Raw genomic sequence first — 15907 nt, forward strand, 5'->3', positions numbered from 1 at the left:
TTACAAAGGACAGACCGTCCCTGGCCCTCCGGGGCAGGAGCGCAGAGGACACTCTGCAAGAACTTATAGGTCTCTTGACTTTCACATGTCACTGCTTTGGAATGTGACTCTTTTTTTTTTTTTTCTTTTAAAGATAAAGTTCCTGAAAAAGATTAAAGCAGAGATGTTTCCAGATTCTCATGAGAAACCTTCTAGTTAGCATAGTATTTTCTCACTAGACATTCAGCTCTACTTCTTAAATTCTCCTGAAGTGTTATAAGGAAACTAAATATTATGTTTAATTGCGCTTAAGTGAAATTCTAAAGCAAGCATGTGCTTTGATTAATCATGCCTATCTCTAACACCCTACCCAGCGCCTGGCGCGTTAGAGATACTGGTGAAATAAACATTGATAGAATTGAATAATGGCCTGAGAGATGTGAACTTCTTTGCACAAAATTCTAAAAACTGAGCAGTCATGAAGCTGGCCATAATTCACACACCTGATTACACTCAATTTATTAAAGTGTTTCTGAAAGCTCCCCACCAGCTGCTATTTTGTTTGGCCCATGGTGAAATTTTCCAATATCGAGACTTTTTCATTTTTTTCCTCCCCTGTTCTTTCCCATTTCTTTTAGCACAAGCTTCCAGTTTGCTTCGTGGTTGATTCTCACATCCACAACATTTTTGGCGCTTCTGCTGGTGTGGTTTGTGCTAAGAGAACACGGGAGCGCAGATGGGAACCAGGGGTTTCCCCGCAGCCAGGTGGCAGGTCCAGGCCGGAGCACCCAGGCTGTTTCAGAACACATGACTGAGTGGGGCGGAGTACCCAGACTTTAGGCAGCATCGCCCTCATATAGATACCAGGAAATCATGCCCCTCGTAGAGCAGCAGGTCCAAGCAGGGCTGCTGGCTATTTTTCCAAAAAGTGAGGCAGTTTAAAAAAAAGGCGGAGAACTAGAATTATAGAATAATGGCACATTTTGTGTATTTGTAAAACTAACGGCTTGCATGGTTCACAACCCATTTCTTATGCCTGTGTTTTCCTTGGCAGCAAAATTTCTGTGGTTCCTCCTACTCCACCTCCTGTCAGCGAGAGCCAGTGCAGCCGCAGTCCTGGCAGGGTAACGTATCCATTCTGGGCACTTCTCTAGTAGGGGTCAGGGGATAGAAGGAGAGGAAGCAGGGGAGCTTTCGAGGCTGAGGCCGGGCACGGAACCTCCCAGCAAAGGGATCTGACTGTGCCTGGAGCGGGTCACAAAGCGGGGTGGGGAGCGAGGGCCCTCAGGCTGGGCAGAGCTTCTCTCCTCATTCTGGTCGCGGGACCCTCTGTGTCATCAGCGACCCTTTCTGCCTGCACCCGAGGTCTCTTTACTCTTGGCATGGCATCGGCCCCCTTCCCCAACTCTGCTCTGTGCTGGGCGTGTGTGTAGAGTCTCTGGGGTCTAAGGGGAAATAAGATTGGTTAACGTGTGTGTGAGTGGGAGTGTCTCTTTTGAGTGTTTGCAGGCTCTGATGTACAGTGGACCAGCACCATTTCTGTCCAAAGAAATTAGCTGTGTGATCTTGGGGCAGTTACCTGGGTTTCCCACCTGAGAGGTGGAAATAATTATACAGGTGCTGCTTGACTTATGATGAGGTTATGTCCCAATACGCCCAAAGTAAATTGAAAATACTGTAAGTCAAAAATATATTTAGCTAGGCGCGGTGGCTCACGCCAGCACTTTGGGAGGCCGAGGTGGGTCACTTGAGGATAGGAGTTCGAGACCAGCCTGGCCAACATGGTGAAACCCTGTCTCTACTAAAAATACAAAAATTAGCTGGTCATGGTGGCAGGCACCTGTAGTCCCAGCTACTCTGGAGGCTGAGGCAGGAGAATTGCTTGAGCCTTGGAGGTGGAGGTTGCAGTGAGCCAAGTGCCACTGCCCTCCAGCCTGGGCAACAGAGCAAGACTCCATCTCAAAAAAAATAAATTGTATTTAATACACACCTAACCTACCAAACATCATAGCATAGCCTAGCCTGCCTTAAAAGTGCTCCGAACACTTGCGTTAGCCTACAGTTGGGCAGAATCATTTAATGCAGAGCCTATTTTATAATAATAAAAATGTTATTAATAATACAAAATAGAAAAGATCAAAATGCAAAGTACGGTTTCTACTGAATATATATTGCTTTCACACCATCATCAAGTCAGAAAATTGTAAGTCAAACCATCGTAAGTCAGGGAGTGTCTATATTTGTATATATCGTCTATATTTGTATGGCTGTTGTGAGAAATTAACAAAATAATGTCTGTGTTGGTACTTGGAAAACCGTAAAGTGCCATGGAAATATATTGTCTTGGTTATCTTCATTATTCTATAAATTAAAGGGGGCAGGTATATATGGGAGAATATGGGAGCTGATCATAATCCCAGAAGACATAGTCCTGAGTGCTATCATCCTGAATGTTGGAATCCTGAAAGATCAAAATCCCAAAAATATAATTCTAGAAAATCTAAAAATGATTTTGAAGAAATTTATTTAAAAAATTTAAAGGGGATTTGAGAAACATGTAAAAACATGACAACAGCCTGGGCAACATAGCAAGACCCTATCTACAAAAAATAAAAAAATTAGCTGGATGTGGTAGCACATGCCTGTAGGCTCAGCTACTCAGGAGGCTGAGGGAAGAGGATCCCTTGAGCCCAGGAGGCCAAGGCTACAGTGAGCCATGATTGCGCCAATGCGTTCCAGCCTGGGCAACAGAGCGCGACTGTCTCTAAACAAACAAACTAAAAACAAAAACCATGACAGAACACTTAACTGGCCACTTTACACAATAAATAGGCAAAAACAGCATGCATATTTTTGCAAGCATAAACACTCAGATATACTAATGACAGTCACATGGGTATAACAATTATGAACAGATGAACCATATTCATAAAGAAATACATCAGAAAGGGAAGTGTAGAAATACACATTACTATGGCTGGTATTGTGTGCATCCAGCTTTGTAACTGAAATATTGTCATGAACAGCAGTATTTTTCAAACAGTCATTTGATGAGATGGATCAAAAACCGCCATGGGTCACCATTGCATATACAGTCACCCAAACAGCTGAGATCTCAAGAAATTTTATCTTTTGCAAATACAGATGTACAAAAAGGAGATCTCTTCCCTTAGGAAATATCAACATCTTTATGTACATGTCAGAGTCATGGTGTGATGACGTACTTTGAAGCATGGAGTCAGTTTTCAAAAAAAAAAAAATGCATAACACAAATTAAAACTCTAAAAGTGTCTGTAATTTTTACCTCCAGCATGGGACATGATGAGAACGTGAACTACACAGCATAGCAAACTGTGCTGTGTGTGAAGGGGCAGAATTCATACACAACTAAACTAAATAATTTGGCAGCGGAGATTTCTTGTATTTTTTTTGCCTGTGTTTTTACTTCTAAGATCTTTGAAACACTTGCTGCACTTGTATTTGGAGAGTGGTTGTGGTCTAAGCTTTTTTTTTTTTTGCTTTTTTCTTTTTTTGAGATGGAGTTTCACTCTTGTCCAGGCTGGAGTGCAATGGCGCAATCTTGGCCCATCACACCCTCCACCTCCCGGGTTCAAGCGATTCTCCTGCCTCAACCTCCTGAGTAGCTGGGATTACAGGCATGTGCCACCAGGCCCAGCTAATTTGTTTTGTATCTTCAGTAGAGACGGGGTTTCACTATTGGCCAGGCTGCTTTTGACCTCCTGATCTCGTGATCTGCCCACCTCGGGCTCCCAAAGCGCTGGGGTTACAGGCGTGAGCCACCTCGCCCAGCCAGGTCTACGCATTTTGTAAGCACATGCTGTCCATTTGAAAGGCTGGTTCTTGCTCCAGTCGTTGCAATTAAGCCATTTCCTACTTTTGCAACACCAATACTAATTAGCTTTTAAACTTTTACCATTCATTATTAAATAACCTTATACTCATATCACAGGCTTTTTGGTGAAGGAACCGTTTCACAGATCTCTTCTGTTGTGTTGTGAGGAATACAATAAGAAGGAATGATAGGTGGCTTCCTCAATACCAAATCTGTATTAGGGTTCTCCAGATAGACACAGCCAATAGGATATGTATATAGATACATGAGAGGAGTCTTACTAGGGGAATTGGCTCACGTGATCACGGCAGCTGAGAAGTCTCTCCACAAGCCATCTGCAAACTGGAGACCCTGGGATACCAGTAGCGTGACTCAGTCCAAGTCCCAAGGTGTCGGCGCCAGGAAAGCTGATGGTGTTGTTACAGGAAACAGACCCCAAGAAACGGTTCTTGAATCTCGCGGAAGAAAGAATGCAGGGCGAGTCCACAGAGTAAAGTGAAAGCAAGTTTATTAGGAAAGTAAAGGAATAAAGAACGGCTACTCCATAGACAGAACAGCCCTGAGGGCTGCTGGTTGCCCATTTTTATGGCTATTTCTCAATGATATGCTCAACAAGGGGTGGATTATTCATGCCTCCCCTTTTTAGAGCATGTAGGGTAACTTCCTGATGTTGCCATGGCATTTGTAAACTGTCATGGCACTGGTGGGAGTGTAGCAGTGAGGACGACCAGAGGTCACTCTTGTTGCCATCTTGGTTTTGGTGGATTTTAGCTGTCTTCTTTACTGCAACCTGTTTTATCAGCAAGGTCTTTATGACCTGTATATTGGGCTGACCTCCCATCTCATCCTGTGACTTAGAATGCCTTAACCATCTGGGAATGCAGCCCAGTAGGTCTCGGCCTCATTTTACCCAGCTCCTATTCAAGATGGAGTTGCTGTGGTTCACATACCTCTGACAATGTAACTCTCAGTTCAAAGCTGAAAGCCTCAGGACCCAGGGAGCCTCTGGTCTAAGTCCTGGAGTCCAATGGCCAATCAGCCTGGGTTCTGATGTCCAAGGCAGCAGAAGAAAAGTCTGTTCCAGCTCTCAGAGACCAATTCATTTGCTGTATTTGTTCTCCTTGGGCCCCTGGTTGAGTGGGTGGTGCCTGCCAATATTGAGGGCAGATCTTTCTAACCGAATCCACTCAGACTCACACACTAATCTCCTCTGGAAACACCCTCACAGACACACCCAGAATAATGCCTTACCAGGCTTCTAGGTATTCCTGAAGCCAATCAAGTGGATGCCTACAATTAAGGTGTCATTAATTAAGTCCACGAGTCCACCCCTTGTCAACCTGTACCCATAGGCTCTCCTTAAGTCATACTTAATTTAATAAAGGCAGTAACAAAGTAATAGGTCCCCCTAACATGATGCAACTATCCCATAATTGTGATTTTGGGGATTTTAGATGTTAGGGATTTGGACTTCAGGGATTTTAATCTTTAGGGATTTAGACTTTAGGGATTTTGATCTTTCATCGTTTAGGATTATGGCATTTGAGACTGTGTCTTTGAGATTATGATCCAAACCCAAAAATATATAATGCTGATAAGAGAGAAGAATCACATACATTCTTTTTCTTTTCTTTCTTTCTTTTTTTTTTTTTTTTTGAGACAGAGTCTCGCTCTATTGCCCAGGCTGGAGACCAGTGGCGTGATCTCGACTCATTGCAAGCTCCGCCTCCCGGGTTCACACCATTCTCCTGCCTCAGCCTCCCAAGTAGCTGGGATTACAGGTGCCCGCCACCTTGCCCAGCTAATTTTTTTTTGTATTTTTAGTAGAGACGGGGTTTCACGTGTTAGCCAGGATGGTCTCGATCTCCTGACCTCGTGATCCGCCCGCCTCGGGCTCCCAAAGTGCTGGGATTACAGGCGTGAGCCACCGCGCCTGGCCTCTTTTTCAGTTTCAAACTGAGACTGGGGTGACCTTCAAAATCCTGCTCTACTTTCTCCTGGAAATTTCAAATTCTCCAGAGTCGTTCCAGTACCTACGTGCTCATGATGTATTTATTGGACAGATGGATGATTGGATGGGTGGTAATGTAAGATGGATGGATGTTTGGTGGCTAGATGGGTGGATGGATGGATGAATGAATGAGACTTGGATAAGGAAGTGAACTCCTTTCTGTTGTTTTATCTTTTTTTTCTTCTGCTTTGGGAAGTGGAGCCCCTCAGCTCTTGCCTGGTCACCTTGTGGCTTTTACCATCCTCATCCCCTGTGCCACCCACATCCTGCCACTTCTGCATGGAGTTGGGGTGGGGCCATTGGAGAAAAGAGGTTAAACAAGCAGTAATTTACTTGAGTACAGTCTTTGAGCCAATGAAATGCCAGTCATCATTTCCCAGGGGTACTTGTCATCTTGTCAACAACCCGCTGATAATGCTCCTTCAATGTGAATAGCAAAAGTAGGGAGAGACGCTGAATGAAGAAGATGCCTACCCCTCAGGAAGACTGCTGTCCGCCTCCAGGCCTGCATGCACACACCCATGCCCACCTGCACCCCCAGCACCACGCCCACACTCACTCGCACACACCCACATGCCAGTGTTTTGGGGTTGGCAGCCTGGACACTGCTGAGGCAAACACAAGTCATCAAGCATAATTCTCATTCTCTCCTTCTGTCTCTGTTTTAGTTACAGGAATTTGGTCAGTTTAGAGGATTTAATAAGTCCGTGGAAAATTTGTTTCTGTCTCTTGCTACCCACGTGAAAAGTAAGTGCATGCTTCATGATGTGTTTTCCCACTACCTTCCAGGCCAGCCGAGCCCACTGGCCAGGGCCTGGCCGGTGACCTCGGTTGACACTGTCCCTCAGGCCACTCACTTTGTCTCTGGACCCTGGGGAAAGCCACAGCACCTGGCCCTTCATCTCTTTCCCAACAAAGCAGGCCTCTGGTTCCTCATAGGAAGAGAAATGGTGGCTCAGACCTGTAATCCAAGCACTTTGGGAGGCCAAGGTGGGTGGATCACTTGAGGTCAGGAGTTCGAGACCATCTGGCCAACATGGTGAAACCCTGTCTCCACTAAAAATACAAAAATTAGCCAGGCATGGTGGTGGGTGCCTGTAATCCCAGCTACTGGGGAAGCTGAGGCAGGAGAATCACTTGAACCCAGGAGGCGGAGGTTGCAGTGAGCCAAGATCACGCCACTGGACTCCAGCCTGAGCAACAGAGCAAGACTCCGTCTCAAAAAAGAAAAAGAAAAAAAAAAAAAGATGCAATTTCAGGGAATCTAAAACCAGAACCTTTCAGGCCAGTAGGGCCCAATTATCTATCTATTGTCTGCATGGAATTACTTGCCTTTCTCCTCTCCTCCTTGGTAAATGTATTTTCTTCAGTTAGCAGTAATCCTGTGATTTGCAGATGCATGTAACCTAGAACCACCTCCACTTGCAATCTTGTGTCTTTCAATGTTCTTTCTGCTCAGATACTTTTTTCTCTGTTTATCTTAAAATTCAAGTCCCAGAGGACAGACTCCTTTTCATGCCTCCTAAGATGCCCAGGGCTGGTCAGGTGTTTAGAAAATGTCCTTAGTGTGCTCAAGGGTCCTTAGGCATGGATTTCTCTTTCACTGTGTTTCTGCTCGGCTTCTCTTCATCATCCCCTTTTCTGTAGTTGCATGCGGATGGTCTCAGTGCTGCACTTGGCTCTGAGACAGTCTCTTTATGTGACTTTAATTAGTTGTCCGTATTCCTCATGAGCCCTGTGTCAGCTGTCACACGATGACAATGGACATCAAAGCACTGCTCTTCAGATGAGCAGAAACAGTCGTCTCATGCAATGGTCTGTTCCTTTCTTAGGGAGGAAGCAGCTGAATTTCATGGGCCTGTTTGCTAAGAGCGTTTGGTGGCTTAAAAATCACTGTTTCCATCCTGCTGGGCTCTCTGACAGTAACCCCTGCTCTGTGCCCCTTGGCCTGGAACGTGTTTTCCAGCTGTCCCGGCTGCCTCTTCTCTTGTTCTCTTGTGGGTGCTATTTTCCCACCCACCCCCTTGTATTTGTCATGTATGGGTGGGTGCTAGTTCACCTTCCCTGTATGTCTTTCTAGGTGCACAGCCCTTCTCCAAATCTATGTGGCTTCTGTGAATTGTCTTCCACCACTGCCACTATAGAATCAGTGCCTTGGAGTTAGCCCCAACCCTGTCATCCCCCAGCCACCGAAATCCAGAGAGGTGGGACACACACGTCAGCACACATGCACCTTCCTGGATGCTCCCAGCCCTGCACACAGGTTCATTGGATATGCTCACAGCTGTCAGGTGGCCACCCCAGAGCCTGGCCTGTGTACCTGCTCACACACTTGAGCACTTGAGGCTAACCAGTGTAATACCCAGGTGGACAACTAGAGCTAGTCCCTGGGCGAGGTGTGGGGGAATTCACAAGAGCAAAACAGCAAGCATCCCTTCTCAGATATGGAAAGCAGACTGAAACCGCATCACACACACACACACACGCACGCACCCAGCACCCCCCATACCCCCCCACCACCCCCACCCCCTGCCCAGAGGCAGAGATAGAAAACCCCAGCTTTCTGGCTGCTGGGAGTGGTGCTTGGCCTCTGACCTTTCCCGAGTGCTTCCCCTGTTTCTGCAGGAACAGGACACGTGACCACACACACGCCCTTCTCCCGTCTCTGCCACAGGACACTTAGCGTCCTGTAGGCGCTGACTCCTATTTCTTTGGATTTTGAGCTCCTCTTCTCGTGCTCCTATTATCTTATTGGCTGCCTGTTTCCCCACGGAAGTGGGTGCAGAGGGAAGCCTCATTCTGAGGGGAGGAAGATTGGCACCTGAGGTCCTCGGGGAGGGACTGTAGAGGGCCCCAGACTCTTCACTGGCCCAGGTGCTGAAGGGTGGCTTTGCCCCTGAGGGGTTTTGAAAGGTGACCCAGAATTACAACCTCTAGCTGCTGATGCTGCCCAATGAAGTCAAACCAGCGGGAGGAAATGAGTGGCTGCAGCTCTGTCTATTATCAGTACGTTTCTAGAAGATGTCAGCACTGTAGTCCCCCTTAGAAAGGGGAAGAGGAAATGAGAAAACTGGTCTTGCCCAGAAGCAATCTGCATTTCTTTCTCTTCCTTATCCTTTGTCCCCTAATAATACTGACCTATAAGCCTATTTCTTAGAGCCCAAATTTCTCAAGAAGGCTTGTCCTCTCCCCTCATCTGTGAACTTTCAATGGCCCAAATAGGCCCAGGCTTTGGGATGGGCACTAAGAGATTGCTGGGGGACCAGTTCCTCCTAAGGGCTTAGAAATTAGAGCCCCTCACAGCCTCACAGTCCAGACTGAGATGGACCATCTGAGCGTGTCCTTTACTTTGTCCACTTTGAGGACCTGGTGCGTACTAGTGCCTTACGAGCTGCTGGCCTTAGAAAGATCCCCCAGTGTTTCTTGATGGTCACCTTGAGGACATGGGGATGGCATTGCTATCAGAGGAGGCTAGGAGGCATCCTGGTGGAAAAGCTGGACACCCCAGCCGTTCCCTCTTTAGATGAAAGAGATACTGCAAGACTCATTCTTGGGCAGTGTAGGCAGGAGAGAACGAATACATAGTGAGAGGATAGAGGATTCATGCAATAACATCCCAAGGAGGTGGATCCAAAGCCAGCCGGGGGGTCAAGAGCCACAGTGTCCATTGCAGTGGCCTCTAACCACGTGTTGCTCTTGAGCCCCTGAAATAGGGCTGCAAGATGCACTACCAAAGTGAACACACTGGGTTTCAGAGACTTGGAATCCAACAAAAGTAAAATATTTCATGGATAACTTTAATGTTGATGACATTTTTTAATATTTTGGATATATTGTGTTAAACTAAATATAGAATTAAAATTAATTTGGCCAGGCATGGTGGCTTAAGCCTGTAATCCCAGCACTTTGGGAGGCCAAGGTGGGTGGATCTCTTGAGCTCAGGAGTTCGAGACCAGCCTGGCCAACATGGTGAAACCATGGCTAATACAAAAATTAGCCGGGCGTGGTGACACACACCTGTAATCCCAGCTACTTGGGAGGCTGAGGCATGAGAATCACTTGAACCCAGGAGGCGGAGGTTGCAGTGAGCCAAGATCACATCATTGCACTCCATTCTGGGCAACAGAGTGAGACTCTATTTCAAAAATAAATAAGTAAATAGAGTTAATTTTACCTGTTTTTTTTTTTTTAACTTTTTAAATATGGCTACTATAAAATTTAAAATTGTATGTGTGACTTGCATTGTCTCTCTGCCGGACAGCACAGCTCTAGAGACAGTTTTAAGGTCCCCGTTTGGAGGAGTGGGGTTCTCAAGGGAAAATGAAACCATCTTCAGAGGATGAAACTATCTTCAAGGTGGTTCTCTCACTTCTGTATGTGGCTTCCTTCCTTCAAACTTTCTTCATCTTTACTCTAGACCACTATTACACTGTAAAAATGAAACAAATTTGTTTACAGTCATCTTTCCAGGGTTTGTTTATTATAATTGTTATGAGGACACCCCAAATCTTATTTTTACCTCGCTTCAAAAAGTCACAAGAAATGGTGTTAAGTTGTAACATCTTTGTAAGGAACCCCTAGAAAGCCGGCTTGTTTGGTAGGCTGCCGTCTTCGTGTTTGGATGAGTGCACACACATATGTGTGACCTGGAACGCAGAGGAGCTTGGGTGGATGATTTCCCTTCACCTCTCACCCTGACCATGGCCTGGGTGGCCACAGCGGGACCTTGAAGGAAGCCAGCCCTCTCCTGCCCTGACCCAGCACACTGTCTGCTCACCTTCCCAACACCTCTGCACTTGGTGGGGGAATGTGCCGCCCTTGCTCCTCCGTGCACTTTGCCCTCTTAAGACCTTGGGACCCACTGTCTGTGGGTTCAGTGAACCCCAGAAGAGGCTCCCACAAGTCTCAGCAAAGCTGCTTGTTCCCACCCATCAACCCTTGTGTTTGCCTTTTAGAGCTCTCCAAATCCCAGAATGATATGACTTCTGAGAAGCATCTTCTCGCCACGGGCCCCAGGCAGTGTGTGGGACAGACAGAGAGACGGAGCCAGTCTGACACTGCGGTCAACGTCACCACCAGGGTACCCTGAGCCCCACAAGGCCTCCACGCTGATCACCTTCATGTTGTCTTCCAGAACTTTCTAGCCTGCCTTCTCTGTAGATTTATGTTTTCTTTGGTTTTATAGAAAAACAGTAAGCCATCAGAAAAACATAATTACCAGTCAGTGCCTCTATTTGGGCAGGGCTGGCCCAAGGCAGGTCAGGATTGAAGGTCAGTCTGGAAAACTGTTCAGCACAAGGAAAGGCTTCCACCTAATCACAAGCCCCTGAGGCTCCTCTGTGTCCACAGAGCTCCCTGCTGGCTTCAAGCCTGCGCCAAAGCCCAAGGGCTTCCTGCAGGGCCCACACCTGCCGGGTTAGCCCTGGAGTCTGCAAGACCAGCAGCCTTTGGTTAAAATCTATCCTGACCTCTGATGGAAACTATTGAAAACGTAAAGGCGCGAGCAAGCCTGTGGGGGCGCTCTTCCCCCGCTGTCCACACCACAAGTGAGAGCTCCCTTAGTAAAGGCTTCTAGGGAAATAATTATTCCACCTTCCCACCAGGACTAACCCAGCCTGGAGTGAACGCTTCGGGTATGAGAGAGAGCCAACCTTAGAATGGGAAAGCCCGCATTCTAGTTCAGCTGAGGTGCCTTGGCTGGGCAGGTGCCACCAGCTGTTGCTTGCAGTGTTGATGTGACTGCCCTGGTAGGCTGGACAGAACTGGTGTCCCTTCTCTGCTGCTGTGGACTCCACTCAGGCTGTCCCCAGACAGACTGTCCTTTAGGCGAGGGTGTGAGGTCAGCCCCCCTCTCCTGCTGGAACTTGCACACAGCCTCTTGAGAGTTCACGTCCTGCCTCCCGCTCCAGCCCAGTGCGCCCCTCTGTAAAATGAAGATGATAATACCTGTTCTGCGCACAGCACAAGGTTTTGTAAACATCTAATGAGATAATGTAGTATCTTGATTTGCTATCTAAGTCATCTAAATATTTTATCTAAATTGCCAGCATTGACTATGATGTGCTGGACTCTGTACTAATAGCTTAACTAGGCTATCTCATTTTATCTTCATAACCACCATCTAGGGTAGGTATTGCATGCAGCCTCATTTTACATGTAAAGAAATGGAGGTTTAGATTAAGTCACCTGCCAAAGGTTGTATAGCCAAAAGAGGACTGAACTCTGAGGCAGTGATTCCCAGCTCTTATGAGTATAGGGGGTCACTGGGGCTCTTAAAATGCAGATTCCAAATCAGTAGCTGCGGGGTGGACGTGAGATGAGGAACCGCAGATGCATTTTTGGTGAACTCCTGGGATCTGGCGAAGTCTATGCTGTGAAGTTCTCAGACCACACTTCAGGAGCGAGGTGTCTAGACAGTTTGAAATGTATTTGGCAGGTGTTTGAAATTCTATAACACAAGTGTCAGCTCCTGTCAGCTTCCCGGGGTCTACAGAAGCTCCCTCCGAACTCCCTCCGGGGATCACTCCTTCTAGTGAAACAGGTGGAGGGGAGGGTTAGCAACCATATGAAGCCCTGTGTGCCACACGTGGTGGCAGCATTGCTTCTTACCTACTTCATCACATTTAATTCTCACAAAAATACCGTGGTAGACATTGTTACTCCCATGATAAAGATCGGCCGAGCCTGGTGGCTCATGCCGGTAATCCCAGCACTTTGGGAAGCCGAGGTGGGCAGATTGCTTGAGCCAAGGAGTTGGAGACCAGCCTGGGCAACATGAGAAAACCCTGTCTCTACAAAAATACAAATATTAGCCGGGTGTGGTGTCACATGTCTATAATCCCAGCTACTAGGGAGACTGAGGTGGGAGGATCGCTTGAGCCCAGGAGGTCAAGGCTGCAGTGAGCCATGGTTGCACCACTGCACTCCAGCCTGGGTGACAGAGTGAAACCCTGTCTCAAATAATAATAAATTAAAAATTTTAAAAATTGGCCGGGCACCATGGCTCATGCCTGTAATCCCAGCACTCTGGGAGGCTGAAGTGGGTGGATCACCTGAGTTCAGGCGTTCGAGAGCAGCCTAGCCAACATGGTAAAACCCCGTCTCTACTAAAAATACACAAATTAGCCAGGCTCATGGCGGGTGCCTGTAATCCCAACTACTCAGGAGGCCGAGGCAGGAGAATCTTTGCTTGAACCTAGGAGGCAGAGATTGCAGTAAGCCGGGATCGTACTGTTATACGCTCCAGCCTGGGTGACAAGAGTGAAACTTTGTCTCAAAAAAAAAAAAAAAAAAAGCCTGAGTTTTAGTGAGAGGTTGACCAACGTGCCTAATGTCACATAGTGAATGAGAGATGGAGCCAGGAGCAGACCTGGGATTTGACTCTGAATTCTAAACTCTATGTTCCCATAAGAAGGACAAATGAGGACCGCTGAAGAAAGAGGGTTCAGGAAGGGGCGTGTGGAAGCATGAGTAATTATCTTACTTGCTTGAGTCACAGGAAACCACTCAGAGGCTAACACTGACTTGGGGTTAACCAGATGCCTGGCATTGTTCTCAGCGTAATGCCCTTCAGAGGTATTTAGCCTTTGTAATCCTTAAGACAGCCCTATGAAGTTGGTACTGTTCCTGTCCCTACTAAAGACAGGGACACTGGGGCAAAGAGATGACCAAGAGCTAGGTGAAGCCTGCTCCAGAGACCAACCACACCCTGTCCACGCCCCAGAGGTGAGACGCATTTCCCATTTGCACCGTGATGTGCTGTGTGGTGGCTCATCCCACGCACCACAGGCTGGGCTTGTGGCGTTCTGCATGAGGATGGCCCGTGGGTCCTCGGCACGCCCCCTCCCCTGCTGCATGTGCACATGGCCCAGAGCCTGGCCAGGGTTGTCTGAAGGGCTAAGGGAGCTCAGGGATAGAAGTGGTGGGGTGCAGGGGAGACGGTGGGGAGACAGTGGGGAGAGAGCCAATCCAAGTAGACATTGTTATGCGTGTGTCCACTTCTCAGCCATGCTCTTGGCAGGAACGCTTCCAACTTTCTGCAGGCCTTCTCTCTCCCCACCTTAATTGAGGTTGTGGCTGGGTTGGTTTCTTTGTTTCATTTTGAGACCAAGTCTCGCTGTCTTGCCCAGGCTGGAGTGCAGTGGTGATATCGTGGGTCACTGTAGTCTCGATCTCGAAGGCTTAAGTGATCCTCCCACCTCAGCCTCCCAAGTAGCTGGGACTACAGGGATATGGCACCATGCCTGGCTGATTTTTTTTAATTTTTATTTTTAGTAGAGATGTTGCCCAGGCTGGTCTCAAACTCCTGGGCTCAAGCAATCCTCCCACCTAGGCCTCCCAAAGTGCTAGGATTACAGGTGTGAGCCACCACGCCCAGCCAGATATGGCTGTTATAAGGGACAATTTAGCCAAATGTTTATAAAGTACTCAGCAATGATAGTATGATCTATAAATGCTAAATAACTATTGGGTTGAAATATAAGGAGTACACTTCTATTTATTTATTTTTATTTATTTTTGAGACAGAGTCTCATTCTGTTGCCCAGGCTGGAGTACGATGGCACAATCTTGGCTCACTGCAACCTCTCCCTCCCCAGTTCAAGTGATTCTCATGCCTCAGCCTCTTGAGTGGATAGGATTACAGGCATGCACCACCACACCTGGCTAATTTTTGGATTTTTAGTAGAAATGGGGTTTTGCTGTGTTGCCTAGGGTAGTCTCAAACTCCTGAGCTCAATCGGATGCCTGCCTTAGCCTCCCAAAGTGCTGGGATTACAGGTGTGAGCCGCTGCGCCTGGTCCAGGAGTACGTCTTTAAATAGAACATTCATCAGACTGCAATTACACATGCCTTAGCTGGGGAGCTCACCAAAATTCCTCTCATTTTCATCAGATTATTAATATTTCATCAATATTAATTATAGAACACGGTGGCCCTGCTTTGGAAGTAGAGGATGCTGGTGCCCACCTTGCAAGTGGCTACACTGAGGCACAGAAGTAGTAGATAACTTTCTTTTTTTGTTTGTTTGTTTGTTTGTTTGTTTTTTTGAGACAGGGTCTTACTTTGTCACCCAGGCTGGAGTGTAGTGGTGCAAACACAGCTCATTGTAGCTTCTACCTCCTGGGCTCAGGTGATCCTCCCACTTCAGCACCCCCGAGTAGCTGGGACTACAGGAGTACACCACTCTGCCCAGCTAATTTTTGTATTTTTTCTAGAGATAGGGTTTTACCATGTTGCCCAGACTGGTCTTGAATTCCTGGGCTCAAGTGATCCTCCCACCTTAAAATCACGCGGTGACTCGGGGATGTTAACTGAGAAAACAGCTCAGGATCTTTTCCACACCACTTCTCTGTTAAGTTTGAACCACATGTTCTGAAAACACCCCTTCAAAAATGCTGACTTAAGCATCTGGGCCAGAATTCTTCAAGAAGTGAATTCTTACCTCTCCTCTTCTGTGCATTCCACTGGGATTTTATTGTATATGTTATGAATGTACAGTATTGACCTATATTGGCCATAAAAACATGCACCTGTTAAACAGGAAGGATGCCTAAAAACCGTCAGGAGGGGCTATCTCTGGGGAGGGGAACTGAGGACAGAGGTGGAGGAAAAAGATTTTCTCTCTTTTCTGTTTTTTTTTTTTTTTTTTTTTTTTTTAAGATGGAGTCTCGCTCTGTCACCCAGACAGCGAGCGAACAGTCTGGGCTCACTGCAACCTCCGCCTCCCAGGTTCAAGCCATTCTCCTGTCTCAGCCTCCTGAGTAGCTAGGACTACAGGCGCCTGCCACCACACCCAGCTAATTTTTGTATTTTTAGTAGAGACAGGGTTTCTCCATTTTGGCCATGCTGGTCTTGAACTTCTAACCTCAGGTGATCTGCCAGCCTCGGCTTCCCAAAGTGCCGGGATTACAAGTGTGAGCCACCATGCCTGGCCAGTTATTCTTTTTAACAGCTACTCTTTTTTTTTTTTTTTTTTTTTTTGAGACAGAGTCTTGCTCTGTCGCCCAGGCTGGAGTGCAGTGTCATGATCTCGACTCACTGCAACCTCTGCCTCCCGGGTTCAA

At 47.1% G+C, this 15907-nt stretch overlaps 1 protein-coding gene across 26 annotated transcripts in view, besides 6 other annotated features; it reads left to right on the forward strand.

Moving 5' to 3' along the window:
* The window catches only part of SYTL3 (synaptotagmin like 3), a 119936-nt gene that overhangs the window by 62353 nt on the left and 41676 nt on the right, over window positions 1–15907 (forward strand). For 16 of the 26 annotated variants that reach the window (XM_006715606.4, XM_011536254.3, XM_006715611.4 and 13 more), the window contains 3 exons: window positions 1034–1103; window positions 6512–6590; window positions 10799–10923. The exons of 1 other annotated variant lie outside the window; for it this stretch is intronic. In XM_006715606.4, the coding sequence (XP_006715669.1) occupies window positions 1034–1103; window positions 6512–6590; window positions 10799–10923 (274 nt within the window). Of the gene's footprint in view, window positions 1–1033; window positions 1104–6511; window positions 6591–10798; window positions 10924–10960; window positions 13569–15907 lie in introns of those variants that run through there. 9 more of the 26 variants (XM_047419556.1, XM_047419557.1, NM_001242395.2 and 6 more) reach the window with 3 other exon arrangements.
* Window positions 459–1090: an enhancer, noted in NCBI's record as "H3K27ac-H3K4me1 hESC enhancer chr6:159128779-159129410 (GRCh37/hg19 assembly coordinates)". NCBI's record gives its function as "activates a minimal SCP1, AML or CMV promoter by ChIP-STARR-seq in primed H9 embryonic stem cells {active_cell/tissue: H9 hESC(primed)}" and the evidence as "EXISTENCE:reporter gene assay evidence [ECO:0000049][PMID:30033119]".
* Window positions 1091–1722: an enhancer, noted in NCBI's record as "H3K27ac-H3K4me1 hESC enhancer chr6:159129411-159130042 (GRCh37/hg19 assembly coordinates)". NCBI's record gives its function as "activates a minimal SCP1, AML or CMV promoter by ChIP-STARR-seq in primed H9 embryonic stem cells {active_cell/tissue: H9 hESC(primed)}" and the evidence as "EXISTENCE:reporter gene assay evidence [ECO:0000049][PMID:30033119]".
* Window positions 8792–8881: an enhancer, noted in NCBI's record as "active region_25360". NCBI's record gives its function as "activates an Ori minimal core promoter by ATAC-STARR-seq in GM12878 lymphoblastoid cells {active_cell/tissue: GM12878}" and the evidence as "EXISTENCE:reporter gene assay evidence [ECO:0000049][PMID:35858748]".
* Window positions 12774–13973: an enhancer, noted in NCBI's record as "P300/CBP strongly-dependent group 1 enhancer chr6:159141094-159142293 (GRCh37/hg19 assembly coordinates)". NCBI's record gives its function as "activates an origin of replication core promoter dependent on BRD2, BRD4, P300/CBP, MED14 and CDK7 cofactors, with strong dependence on P300/CBP, by STARR-seq in HCT116 cells {active_cell/tissue: HCT116}" and the evidence as "EXISTENCE:reporter gene assay evidence [ECO:0000049][PMID:35650434]".
* Window positions 13606–13655: an enhancer, noted in NCBI's record as "active region_25361". NCBI's record gives its function as "activates an Ori minimal core promoter by ATAC-STARR-seq in GM12878 lymphoblastoid cells {active_cell/tissue: GM12878}" and the evidence as "EXISTENCE:reporter gene assay evidence [ECO:0000049][PMID:35858748]".
* Window positions 13726–13825: an enhancer, noted in NCBI's record as "active region_25362". NCBI's record gives its function as "activates an Ori minimal core promoter by ATAC-STARR-seq in GM12878 lymphoblastoid cells {active_cell/tissue: GM12878}" and the evidence as "EXISTENCE:reporter gene assay evidence [ECO:0000049][PMID:35858748]".

The sequence above is a fragment of the Homo sapiens genome, chromosome 6, assembly GCF_000001405.40.
Source record: "Homo sapiens chromosome 6, GRCh38.p14 Primary Assembly".
NCBI classification, from domain to species: domain Eukaryota; kingdom Metazoa; phylum Chordata; class Mammalia; order Primates; family Hominidae; genus Homo; species Homo sapiens.